Source organism: Homo sapiens, chromosome 2, assembly GCF_000001405.40.
Source record: "Homo sapiens chromosome 2, GRCh38.p14 Primary Assembly".
NCBI lineage: Eukaryota > Metazoa > Chordata > Mammalia > Primates > Hominidae > Homo > Homo sapiens.
The window spans coordinates 79,024,412-79,037,088 of NC_000002.12; the positions used below are offsets into that span (position 1 = coordinate 79,024,412).

The 12,677-nt window shown below is 38.5% G+C and overlaps 1 protein-coding gene across 6 annotated transcripts; it reads left to right on the top strand.

Moving 5' to 3' along the window:
* The first annotated feature begins 1,290 nt into the window (after positions 1-1,290).
* On the top strand, positions 1,291-4,090 carry REG3G (regenerating family member 3 gamma). 6 transcript variants are annotated; one of them, XM_005264135.3, is made up of 6 exons: positions 1,291-1,503; positions 1,572-1,758; positions 2,302-2,420; positions 2,623-2,760; positions 3,396-3,522; positions 3,798-4,090. In XM_005264135.3, exons 2-6 carry the CDS (start codon positions 1,683-1,685, stop codon positions 3,863-3,865), a joined length of 528 nt encoding a protein of 175 aa, XP_005264192.1. In that variant the 5' UTR covers positions 1,291-1,503; positions 1,572-1,682; the 3' UTR covers positions 3,866-4,090. The 6 variants fall into 6 exon arrangements, with proteins under 6 accessions (XP_005264192.1, NP_001008388.1, NP_940850.1 ...); NM_001008387.3 differs by having other exon boundaries at positions 1,291-1,362; NM_198448.4 differs by having other exon boundaries at positions 1,291-1,362; positions 1,672-1,758.
* Positions 4,091-12,677: the final 8,587 nt, after the last annotated feature.

Consider the following 12,677-nt stretch of genomic DNA (forward strand, 5'->3'; position numbering starts at 1 on the left):
TGAGCTATTGATATTTATAATAATATATAGTAAAAGAGAAAAGTTAAAAATATTCATTTACTAACTCACTTTGAACTTTTTTGAAAACATGTTAACAAAAGACCCATATGTCAGTAAGTGAAGTTTGTCTTGGTTTATTTTTCAAGTAAAAATGGTGTTCCATGAAATAGTGAACTAAAACTCAGTGTTACAAATTATTTCCCTCAAGACAACCATTATACTTTAGCATGTCAGCTTCCCATTTAGTCATACAGAATATTCCCTCTAGATGTATTCAAGGGTTGAGATTTACTGAAGCCAATTCACTACCCTGATTCATCAAGTTCAAGGGCATTTTCAAGTAAAAATGGCTTTATTTTGTTTCTTGCAAGTGCGTGGATATGAGCAATGCAATTTGGTGCCACTGCCTTGATTGATGTTAAGGCACCAGAACTTCTATCCACCATTTATTTTGCCTCATCAGTGCAAATGTCAACATAGCGAAAATGACGAATAACACTTTAGTATAATTATGAAAATTATAACTGCACAACCACTCCAAACAGGCCCTGAAGACCCCCATTGGTGTGTAGATCACAATCTAAGAACGCTACTCTGAGATATCAAACTGTCAGCGCAGAACTACAATAAACCAAGGAACTATCTCTTGGTCTTCTCACACAAAGGTAGCTGGAAGGCAAATCTATTTAACTGCTGTTCCATAAGACCCTGGCTTGCCTAATGACTCACAAGATTATTTCAAGCTTCTTTTACATCTTGCTGTGAAGTTGAAGTAGCAACACTGAACCAGTGCTGCTGCTTCTGGTTTCTATTGTTTCTTTATTTCGACTAATACATTGTCTTTGCCAACACATCTAATTTTAATGCCCACCCAATTTTTATTTATTAATTTATTTTAAATGTTACTAGATAAGGTATAAAGGAATTCATATGTATGCCTATAGAAGTGAGCTCCTGGCACGTTGATCAAAAACAAACTTTTGACATTTCTCATAACTATGTAATATCATAATATTTTCTAAACTATATAATACCAGGCTCACAAGACTGCCTTTATTCCCTTAAGTTTCTCAGAAGAAGATATCTGGAAGAGGGTGGGAAAAGTGCAAACTTCAACTGTTTGTGGGGAAAGTGCCGGCCTGCTACAGAGAAAAAGGCAACATCTGTAACAATTCCCAGCCTTTGCCAGGAAGAGTCTCCTCCCCTTGGCATAATCTTTTTGAACCAATGCCAAGCCCTCTCCATGACCCCTGTCCCGCCTACATATTGCCGTTATTCACTCCAGTGACCATCCCTGAGATCTTTTTATAAAAAACCCAGTCTTTGCTGACCAGACAAAGCATACCAGATCTCACCAGAGAGGTAAGTGGGAGCTGAGAGAAGATGAGACCTGTGGAAGGGCAACCTCACATAATACAGGAGAACGCATGGGAGGGTCCCTTCCTCAGGGAGCACAGGAGCTCTGAGACTCAGCAAGGCTGTACTGGGAGGTCTCAGGGATGGGTGAGTACACAGATTCACAGCTCATTCAGAACTGTAGAAGATGATGAATGTGACCAAGATCACTTCAGTCCTAGGGGACTACAGAAGGAAAAAGACAAGAGGCAGTAGGATATCTGTGTGTCCTCCCGCTGACCACACTTCCTTTAGTGACCCGATTGCCTCCTCAAGTCGCAGACACTATGCTGCCTCCCATGGCCCTGCCCAGTGTGTCCTGGATGCTGCTTTCCTGCCTCATTCTCCTGTGTCAGGTTCAAGGTGAGATTTCTCTGCCTCTAGCACTGGGTTCCCTATGAATCCTCAGAGCCAAGAAAAGGAGGAAGGCTCCTGTGTGTCACGTGAGGTAATGACGTGGTGTCTAATGAAACTGCCTGCAGTTCCTGCATCATCACTCCTTCCTTCATGTTAACTTGCAGTGGGAGGCTCCACTGTGGTCCACTAACAATGGAATGAGATGGCTTCCATTTAGTCAGTGGACTCTAATATACACTGGTGGGAAAGTGTGGAGGGTCAGCAATGAGATGTGGGGAGGGACAATGATTGGAGGACCCAATATAGAGATAGCCCACAGTGAAGAGAGTGTTGAATGGTTGAATAAGGGGAAAGGGTAATAACAGACTAGATGGTGGCCCATTTAGTAGGGCTATTTTGAGATAAAGAACTTCTGAAAACACAAGGGAAGATGAAGAGCTGTCAGGAATGTGGTCTTCCTCCCCAAGGGCAGACCTAGATATTCCCCAAGGTCATCTCCCACCCACCCCCTACTCTTCATTTTACTCTCTCCCTTTTCTTCCACCCCAGGTGAAGAAACCCAGAAGGAACTGCCCTCTCCACGGATCAGCTGTCCCAAAGGCTCCAAGGCCTATGGCTCCCCCTGCTATGCCTTGTTTTTGTCACCAAAATCCTGGATGGATGCAGATGTGAGTGGTTAGATGTGGGGTTGGAGGTGATAGGGGAAAGTCCATGCAGGTCTCAGGGGGAGGAGGGTCTCCTTCAGGAGAGTTCCTTGGGAATGAGGATGAACACGCTTATCTTTCACACAGTCCTCCTCCCACCTACCTTTTCCCTGCCCTCCCTCAGTGGGTCTCAGGCTCCATCTCATTCTCTTTGTCCCCCTCAAAGCTGGCTTGCCAGAAGCGGCCCTCTGGAAAACTGGTGTCTGTGCTCAGTGGGGCTGAGGGATCCTTCGTGTCCTCCCTGGTGAGGAGCATTAGTAACAGCTATTCATACATCTGGATTGGGCTCCATGACCCCACACAGGTGCGAGTATATCCTCCCCTCTCTGTTACCTCTCAAGGTACTGTTGTTGCCCAGGCGCACTCCCTGTCCCCAGTCCCTGCCCAGGAAGTACTTTAGGGAGCACTGGAGCTCAGATTCTGGGGGACATTTGGGAGAATAGGAAGTCCATGAGGCAGCTGAAGAGCTGAATTCTACGGAGATCCCTAGTCTTTAAAGAAAATTAGTCGGACTCTTGTAAAACTTTTACATAATTCTCAAGGGAATCCTTACAAATCAATTATCTGAGCTTCAGGGAGTCTGTATCTATTATTCTGAGGGAATTCTAAATTAAGATAGGATCAAATTTTGCCCCCATACAGAATAGACATTATCTTTGAGGTTCGCAGGCTAATCACAAATGCTACACCAATTATTGTTCTGCAAGTAACATATTACCTTGAGTGATTCCAAAGTTCTTGTGTTTATTGGTTGGGATTTTCCCAAAGCAATGAGGAGTTAAGGAAAAGATTCCAGTGCAGAGGACTCTAGGGCAGCATCTGGAAGATCAGACCAAAATCCCTGATGCTGGGGAGGAATCAGGTGTTACAGCTCAGGGGCCATGCAAAGAGACCTGCAATGGCCATTTTCTTCACCTGGCTGCCTCCTCTTCTCTATAGGGCTCTGAGCCTGATGGAGATGGATGGGAGTGGAGTAGCACTGATGTGATGAATTACTTTGCATGGGAGAAAAATCCCTCCACCATCTTAAACCCTGGCCACTGTGGGAGCCTGTCAAGAAGCACAGGTAAGAAACAGAAGAGCTGCCTCTTCCCAGCACTTTCCACTCCTCATCCCCAATTTCCTGACCTTCAGGAAATCCTTTTCAGCTAGGTAATGCAGTGTTTATGTGCCTTCTCCCGTCTCCTCTCATCTCTGCCTTCTTTGAGTCTCATTCTCCTGGATTGAGAAACTGGTGAAGATGAGAGAGAAGCTTTAAATCCTAGGCTAAAACCTGGGATGCCTCTTCACTGGGTTCACAAGTTCCCCCAGCCCCATGCCTTTTATATTCTGTCTCCCTAGGATTTCTGAAGTGGAAAGATTATAACTGTGATGCAAAGTTACCCTATGTCTGCAAGTTCAAGGACTAGGGCAGGTGGGAAGTCAGCAGCCTGAGCTTGGCGTGCAGCTCATCATGGACATGAGACCAGTGTGAAGACTCACCCTGGAAGAGAATATTCTCCCCAAACTGCCCTACCTGACTACCTTGTCATGATCCTCCTTCTTTTTCCTTTTTCTTCACCTTCATTTCAGGCTTTTCTCTGTCTTCCATGTCTTGAGATCTCAGAGAATAATAATAAAAATGTTACTTTATACGTATATGCTTTTGTTTCATTCTTATAGTAAGAGCCTTTGGAAGAGGAGGGAGAAGTTGGGGGAGAAAAAAACACTGAGTCTTGGCTCCTCCCAATTTCACCCAGGCCTAAGGTGAAATTACTATATGAGTGTCCCCATCAGTGTATTTGTGATGAAGGTGCGGGCCCTGCTCAGACAGGGTTTGTGTCATGAAGACATGAAGACAGTGCTTCCCCACACACTCACTGCCCACACATTGTCCCTGACGTTGTGACACAATCAGCCCTAGGGGAGTCTGATATTACTTAAAACAGAACTTCTCAAATAATTTTCTGTGAAGGATCTTTTTTTTTCATTAATTTGCAATCTACCTTGCATGGTGACTTTTGTAAAATACAGTAAAAAATGAATTACTTAAACTTCTGGTTACAGTGTTGACATAGAGAGCTTTGGAAACTGTTACTCTTTTCTTTAAAACAAGAAAAATCTGAATAAACTTAAAATCAACAACTTTCCTTTGGGCTAATGAGAGAACTGAGGTAGCAGGGCAAGTTGATACCCCAATATCTGGAAAAGCACCCAAATACACAGAGTTGTTTACATTTCTGCTTACCTGGAGCAAAAGCCTCTAGAGCTACAAGCTGTTAGGAACATTTAAATGGTGATTTTGAAAAATTGCTGGATGTTGAGTGCAGCTTGGCATTAAGAGTGAGAAACTCACGGAAGTTGCACTCCTATGAAAGCCCTCACGCCTTCATGGATTTTACCTTCAGGAATCCCAACAGGTTCTCTTCGTGGAGAGTCAAAAATAATTCTCTCATGGCTTTGTCAGGAAGAGTAGAAAAGAAACCATTTCTAAATCAGCCCAGAGCATTCTCAATAACAAAGACCTACTTCCAGGTAAAAAGACCTTATGAGCTTCGTATCATGCCTAAGCATGAGTGCATTTACGTCCACTCCAGCCACATCTAGCCTTCTCATCTTACCTAACAGAAAGAGACCTAAGAAACATTTTTGAAAGTCATGGCCATGGGGCATAGACTCACAAAAATACTGAGATTTAATCATAAAATTATATGATACTTCCCCTTGCTCAGACACTACCACATCAATAGGGATCCAGTTTAATGACAATAGATCACAATTGAGGAGCTGCAAGGTACACTACTTAAGGAAGAATTATTAGGAAATGACAAAGGCAATAGGAGAGACAAAAACAAGGACACAAGAGAAATTTTAAGCCTCTTGCACCTACAGCTATAGCAAACATTAAACACAAACTAAATCCTAGTGAGATTAATGAAAAGCCTTACACGAAAGGTCTTTTACTTCAGTTGTTATTACTCAATACATCAAGTGAAGCTTTCAAGAGAAACTAAAAATTTTGCTGAACAATAAGAAAAAGCATAGTCTGAAGAGATAAAACAAACATGAAAACCAGACTCAAATATGGTACAGATTTTGGAACTATTAGGAAACTTAAAATAACTATGATTGATGTGATAAGGGCTTTGATGAAGAAAATGGACAATGGGAAAGAAAAGATGCATAATATATGCAGAAAAATAGAAACTGTATAACAGAATCAAAAGATAATGCTACACATCAAAAGCAATATAATAGAAACAAAGGAATTTTTTTTTTTTTTAGAGATGGAGTCTCGGTCTGTCACCCAGGCTGGAGTGCAGTGGCACAATCTCGGCTCACTGCAACCTCTGCCTCCTGAGTTCAAGCGATTTTCCTGCCTCAGCCTCCCGAGTAGCTGGGAGTACAGGCGCCTGTCACCACACCCAGCTAATTTTTGTATTTTTAGTAGAGACCAGGTTTTACCAGAGACCAGAGGCCAGGCTGGTCTCGAACTCCTGACCTCAGGTGATCCACCCGCCTCGGCCTCCCAAACAGGATGTTTTTGAAGGGCTTATCTGTAAACTGGACCTGGCCAAGTAAAGAATCAGTAAGCTTGAAAATAGCTCAACAGAAACTTCTCAAACTGAAATGCAAAGAGAAAATAGAGTGAATGAGCAGAACGAATATCTAAGAACTGTGGGATAATTTTTAAACTCTAATATGTATATAATTTCAATATAAGAAGGAGAAGAAAAAGAAACAAAAGAAAAATTTAAAGTAATAACGATCATGCATTTTCCAAAGTTAATGACAGACACTAAACCCTAGATCCAAGAAGCTCAGAGAACAGCAAGTACAATAAATATCAAAAAACCAATCCTAGGCATATCCTATTCAATCTTCAGAAAACCAAAGACTAAGAGAAAATCTTGAAAGAATCCAGAGAGTTTGGGGGACAGCTTACCCATAGAGGGTCAAGGACAAGAATTAGAATAGATTTGTCATCAGAAACCATTAGGGGAATAAACTACGTAACGAATTGGAAGGCATAATGACCAAACTAGAATTTTATAGCCAGCAAAATTATCCTTCAAAAGTGAATGACAAATAAAAGACTTTCTCTGACAAACAAAAAAGGGAATTCATTTTTAGCAGAACTACTTGGGAAGAAATATTGAAAGAAGTTTTTTTTGGGAGAAGGGAAATGATATAGGTCTGAAACTCAGATCTATTTAAAGAGTGTTTAAAAAAGTCATAAAAAAGTTAAATGAAATATTTTATTTACCTTATTTTTCATCAAGCTAATAGATAACCATTGGCCTAAAGGAAATATAGTAATTGTCTTCTGTGAGTGCAGCACATGAACAAGTGAGATGAATGACAGCAATGTCATAAGGGGTGAGATGGAGAAATTTGGAGTGCTTTGTTCTAAGTTTCTGTGCTATATGTGAAGTACTATATATTATTTGACAGTGGACTTGCATTAGTTGTAAATGTATATTGCAAACTCTATAGCAACTGCTATAAAAATTTAAAATAAAATACAATTAAGGTATAAGAGAGTGAATAAAATAGAATCATATAAATTGTTCAATTGAAACCAGAGAATGCATAAAAAGGGAAGAAAAAAACTGAACAGAGTAAGTGATCTTATAGAAAACAGTTATAAACATGATAAATACTATTCCAACTATATCAATAATCACTTTAAACTTGGGTGATCTAAATGTATCAATTGAAAGAAAGAGATTGTCAGAGGGATTTTTTTTAAGAAAGACCCTACTGTACATTGTCTATCATAAAATGTGATGTGCGAGATACGTCCTCAGGTCTGATCAAAGTAAAGGGATGGAGGAAGATATACCATGCCAACATTAATCAAAAGAAAGCTTGAGTAGTATTTTAACTTCAGACAAATCAGATTTCAGAAAAGTATATAAATATTATTTGGAATCAAGACAGGCATTACAAAATGATAAAAGGGGTCAATTCTCCAAAATGACCTAACAATGTTTGACATGTATGTACCTAACAAGAGAACAAGATGCAAGAGACAATTACTTACACAATTACAAGGAGAACTAGGGAAATCTTTTTTGTACTTAGAGACTTCAACAGTTCTTTTTTTGTAATTGATAGAACAAGTAAGCAGAAAATTAGGAACAGGGTTGACCTGAATAGCATTATCATTCAACTTGTTCTAACTGACACTTAAAGAATACTGCATCCAACAGCATAATACACATTTTTCTCACAGTCACATGGAGCATTTACCAAAATAGACCACATTCCCAGGCATGAATTACACCTTAACAAATTTAAAAGTATAGAAATCATAGAAAATATGCTGTCAGATCACAGTGGAATTAAACTGGAAATCAAAAACAGGAACACAGATGGGAGATTCCAAAATATTTGGAGTTAAAACAACACATTTCTAAATAACACATGGAAAAATAGAAGTCACAGAGAAATTTTAAAAAAATAGTTTGAACTAAATGAAAATGAAAATACAACTTATTAAAATTTGTGGTATATGATGAAAGCAGTGTTTAGAAGAAAATATATAATATTAGATGAATATATTAGAAAAGAAAAAATGATCTAAAATAAGTAATCCAAACGTACTCTTTAGGAAACTGGAGAAATAAAGGCTATTTAATTGTAAAGCAAGCGGAAGAAGAAACATAATAATAGAATAGAAATCAATGAATTTAAAAAGAGAAAAACAATGGGAAAAATAATAAAATAAAAAACTGATTTAAAAGGTCAATAAAATGTAGGCATCTTTAGGCAGACTAACCATGAATAAAATAAGGTGGTGCAATTTAGTAATGTCAGAAATGAAAAAGAGATCAAGGGAAGCTGAAAAACGGCCTCCCTCCAAAGACCTTCTTCCTGGAATTTATGAATATGTTGGTACCTTACATGGCAAAATTGACTTTGCAGATGTGATTGCATTAAGAATCTTAAGATAGGGTGATTATTCTGGATGCATGAGTACAATCACAAGGTCTTTATGACAGGGAGGCAGAAAGTCAGAGGGGAGACAAAAGATTATGCAGCTTTATTTGAAGATGGCTGAAAGGGCCACATGCAGCCTCTAAAAGCTGGAATAGGCAAGAATGGATTTTCTTCTCGTGCCTCCAGAAGGAACGAGTCATGCCAACATCTTGATTTTAGACCTGTAAATGTCTTGACGACTTCTGTTCTTCAGTACTGAAAGAAAATAAATGTATGCTGTTTAAGCAGCTGTGTTTCAGGGAATTTGCTACAGTAGCAATAGGAACCTAATACAGAGGTCATCACTACTGAAACCACCAATGAAAAAAAGATAGTAGGTTGCCTGTTCACTCTGATGATAGTTTCTTTTGCTGTGCTGAAGCTCTTTAGTTTAATTAGATCCAATTTGTCAATTTGCAAACTACTGAATGGGAGAAAATTTTTGCAATCTGTCCATCTGACAAATGGCTAATATCCAGAATCTACAAAGAACTTAAACAAATTTACAAGAAAAAAACAAACAACCCCATCAAAAAGTGAGCGAAGGATATGAACAGACACTTCTCCAAAGAAAACATTTATGCAGCCAACAAATATATGAAAAAAAGCTCATCATCACTGATCATTAAAGAAATGCAAATCAAAACCACAATGAGATACCATCTCACGCCAGTTAGAATGGCTATCATTAAAAAGTCAGGAAACAACAGATGCTGGAGAGGATGTGGAGAAATAGGAACACTTTTACACTGTCGGTGGGAGTGTAAATTAGTTCAACCATTGTGGAAGACAGTGTGACAATTCCTCAAGGATCTAGAACCAGAAATACCATTTGACCCAGCAATCCCATTACTGGGTATATACACAAAGGATTATAAATTATTCTATGATAAAGATACATGCACATGTATGTTTATTGCAGCACTATTCACAATAGCAAAGACTTGGAACCAACCCAAATGCCCATCATTGATAGACTGGATAAAGAAAATGTGGCAAATATATACCATGGAATACTATGCAGCCATAAAAAAGAATGAGTTAATTGTCCTTTGCAGGGACATGGATGAAGCTGGAAACCATCATTCTCAGCAAACTAACTCAGGAACAGAAAACCAAACACTGCATGTTCTCGCTCATAAGTGGGAGTTGAACAATTGAAACACATGGACACAGGGAGGGAAACATCACACACCGGGACCTGTCTGGGGGTGGGGACCTAGGGGAGGGATAGCATTAGGAAAAAATACCTAATGTAGATGATGTGTTGATGAGTGCAGCAAACAACCATAGCATGTGTATACCTATGTAACAAACCTGCACATTATGCATATGTATCCCAGAACTTAAAGTATAATAATAATTTTTAAAAGATAGTAAAGGAATACTACAAACAACTCTATGTCCCAAAATTTGTAATTTAGAAAAAACAAATTAGTTTCTTGAAAGATACAAATCATTAAAACTCAAGTAGAAATAGATAATCTCAATAGGCCTACATTCATTAAATAAATTTAATCAGTAATTTAAATCCTTCCAAAAGAAAACACAGGTGTAGATCATTTTACTGGTGAATTCTACTAAACATATAAAAAAGAAATACCAGTTGTTTATAATTTCTTTCAGAAAATAGAAGCAAGTACAGCTATACAATAACTTTGTAAATCTAAAACTATTCTAGGAATTAAATTTTTAAAAAATAAATAAAAAATGAAATGTAAAACAAAAACATATGTACGACCTTTTTGTTTTTTTAATTTTTTGATTCAATAAAAATTAATTATCATGTTGGTATACATTTTTCTAAAATCCTTCAATTTCTGTGCCTACCTTGCCATGAACAAGTAGCACACAGGCTTGAGAGCCAGGATCATTCCACGAACTACATGGTTAGTTGCCTTGTTCCTACAGGACTGAATAGACTCACTTTCTTAAGTTAGTGTCACGAAACGCCCCAGTGGGTTTTTTATCCTGTGGCCTAGAAACATATTCTCGCCTCAGTCAGGACTGGAGTTAGTAAGACATTATTTGGCATGATTTCTGTTAATATTTATTGAATAAATAAAAAATGGAATAAATAATGCTTTATTTGAAAAGCACCACTTAGATGAAAAAAGAAGAAAGACCAGATTTTCAATGAATTTAAATATATTTAGATCATTATATTACTCACCACATCACTGACATCACACTCCTAGCTTTATATCTTGTGTAAAAATGGAGTAATTGGCCAAATGCCCTCATTTGAACAGGCATGGAATGCTGACAGACATCTACAGGGACCTGGGACAACTCAGCATTGCTGCATATGTAGGTCTGTGAGATAAAATAAAAGCACAGTCCCAGTTAAACTTAAATGTAGGTGACCAGCAAATAGTTTCTCAGTGTAAGTGTGTCCCAAATATCATATATTTGCTTAATCTGGAAATGTTTATGCAGGGATTTTGATTTTCAAATAAATAGATAAGATGAATAGGCAGTGTATTAATTGATATTTGGCAAGTTCCCTATACCTGTTCCAAGACAGCCTGCCTATCTGCAATAAAAGAAGAACCCAGACCCACCTGAAAATTGACTATATGTCCATTTAGTACTTTTGGTGGAGATTTTTTATATTATTATCTGTCACATAATTAGTTAGGGTTTGCTTTTTTCTTTATTCCCTAAAACAGTTTGTATATGATTAGAAATATCTGTTTCTTGGTAGTTTGTAGAACTCTTGAAAACTCTGGACCTAAAGCTTTCTTTGTGAGAATATTTTAAAATATAAATGGAATTTCTTTAATAGGTGTAGTAGGACTTTCAGGATTTTCTTACTGTTCCCCTGGAAGAATTAAGAACTTTTGAATCCAGGGCTGGGCTCAGTGGCTCTCGTCTGTAATACCAGCACTTTGGGAGGTTAAGGCAGGCAGATTACTTGAGGCCAGGAGTTCGAGACCAGCCTGGCCAACACGGTGAAACCCCGTGTCTGTTAATAATACAAAAATTAGCTGGGCATGGTGGCATGTGCCCATAATCCCAGCTACTTGTGAGGCTGAGGCAGGAGAATTCTCCAACCTGGGAGGCAGAGGTTGCAGTGAGCCAAGACTGTGCAGTTCAGCCTGGGCCACAGAGTGATACTCTGGTCTTGAAAAAAAAAAAAAAAAAAAAAAAAGAAAGAAAAAGAGAATGTTTTAATCCCATGCATTAAAAAAGGAAAAGAAGCCTATTTGAAGGTAGCATGATTAAAAAACAAATAATGACAATGGTCCCTGGTATCCTGTTCCCCAACGCCTTCACTGGTTTTAAAGTGGATGACAGAGCAGTCCAACCCACCATTTGCCTAATGTATAGCTGTGGATTACAAAGATGGAGTGTTAATAGCTCCTCCAGTGCTCTAGGCTGTATGGGTGACCATGTTCTCCATCCTGTGAAAGTAGTGAAGATAGATCTATGGTGTATTGTCCTAATTAGATAAATGCAATGCTAACTGCAATAGTCCCAGGTTGTTTCGATAGTTCAGCAAGTGTATGTTTCTTGCTTCTTCTGTCCATCATGAAAAAAACATGTTTTCATAGGTTATTCTCTTTAAAGTCCCTTACATTGGTGGGGAGGGCTGGATGCATGTATTTAGAAGGAAAGAGAAGAGAGCATATCTCCCATTGACATAGCTTTTTCTAAATACAATAAAAAGAAAATAAAATCAAACTACACTAAGATCAATTACCTTTTCTTAATGTAAAAGTTATAGCATTCCCTAGGAGAGGGTCACATCCATGGGAAACCTGCAGACAAAAAGAGGAAGTGATGAGTATCACAGGTAAAATTGTTCCATGTATAAAAGGTTTCTTTGCTGCCATTTCATTGCTGTCAAATCAGGAATGAAAAATAATATTATACACAAGAATAGGGAGCCAGTGACTTGATAAGCCATAGTATTTACTCAAGAAAATAAGGTCTATTTGTGTATGTATACTGACAGCTCTCAGTACTTTCTGCCAGGAGGGCTGATGCCTTTAACATGGGTAGAAACCCATGGCTTTTAGCTTCAAGGTGGTTTAAAAGGGAAGTGAGACGGAATTTTGAACACAGCAGGAAGTTTGTTATGGGAAGCCTTGGGGTCTTTCCAGTGCTGGTTCTCATTTTGGGAACTCACTTATTTATCACCATTATTGTCCATGTCTATAGCTTCAGCTCAGCAATAAGGGTGAAGTGCAAAGGAATTGGACTGTAAGTCAGTAAACTAGGCTTAGATTTCTACTATACCTCTTCTGACCT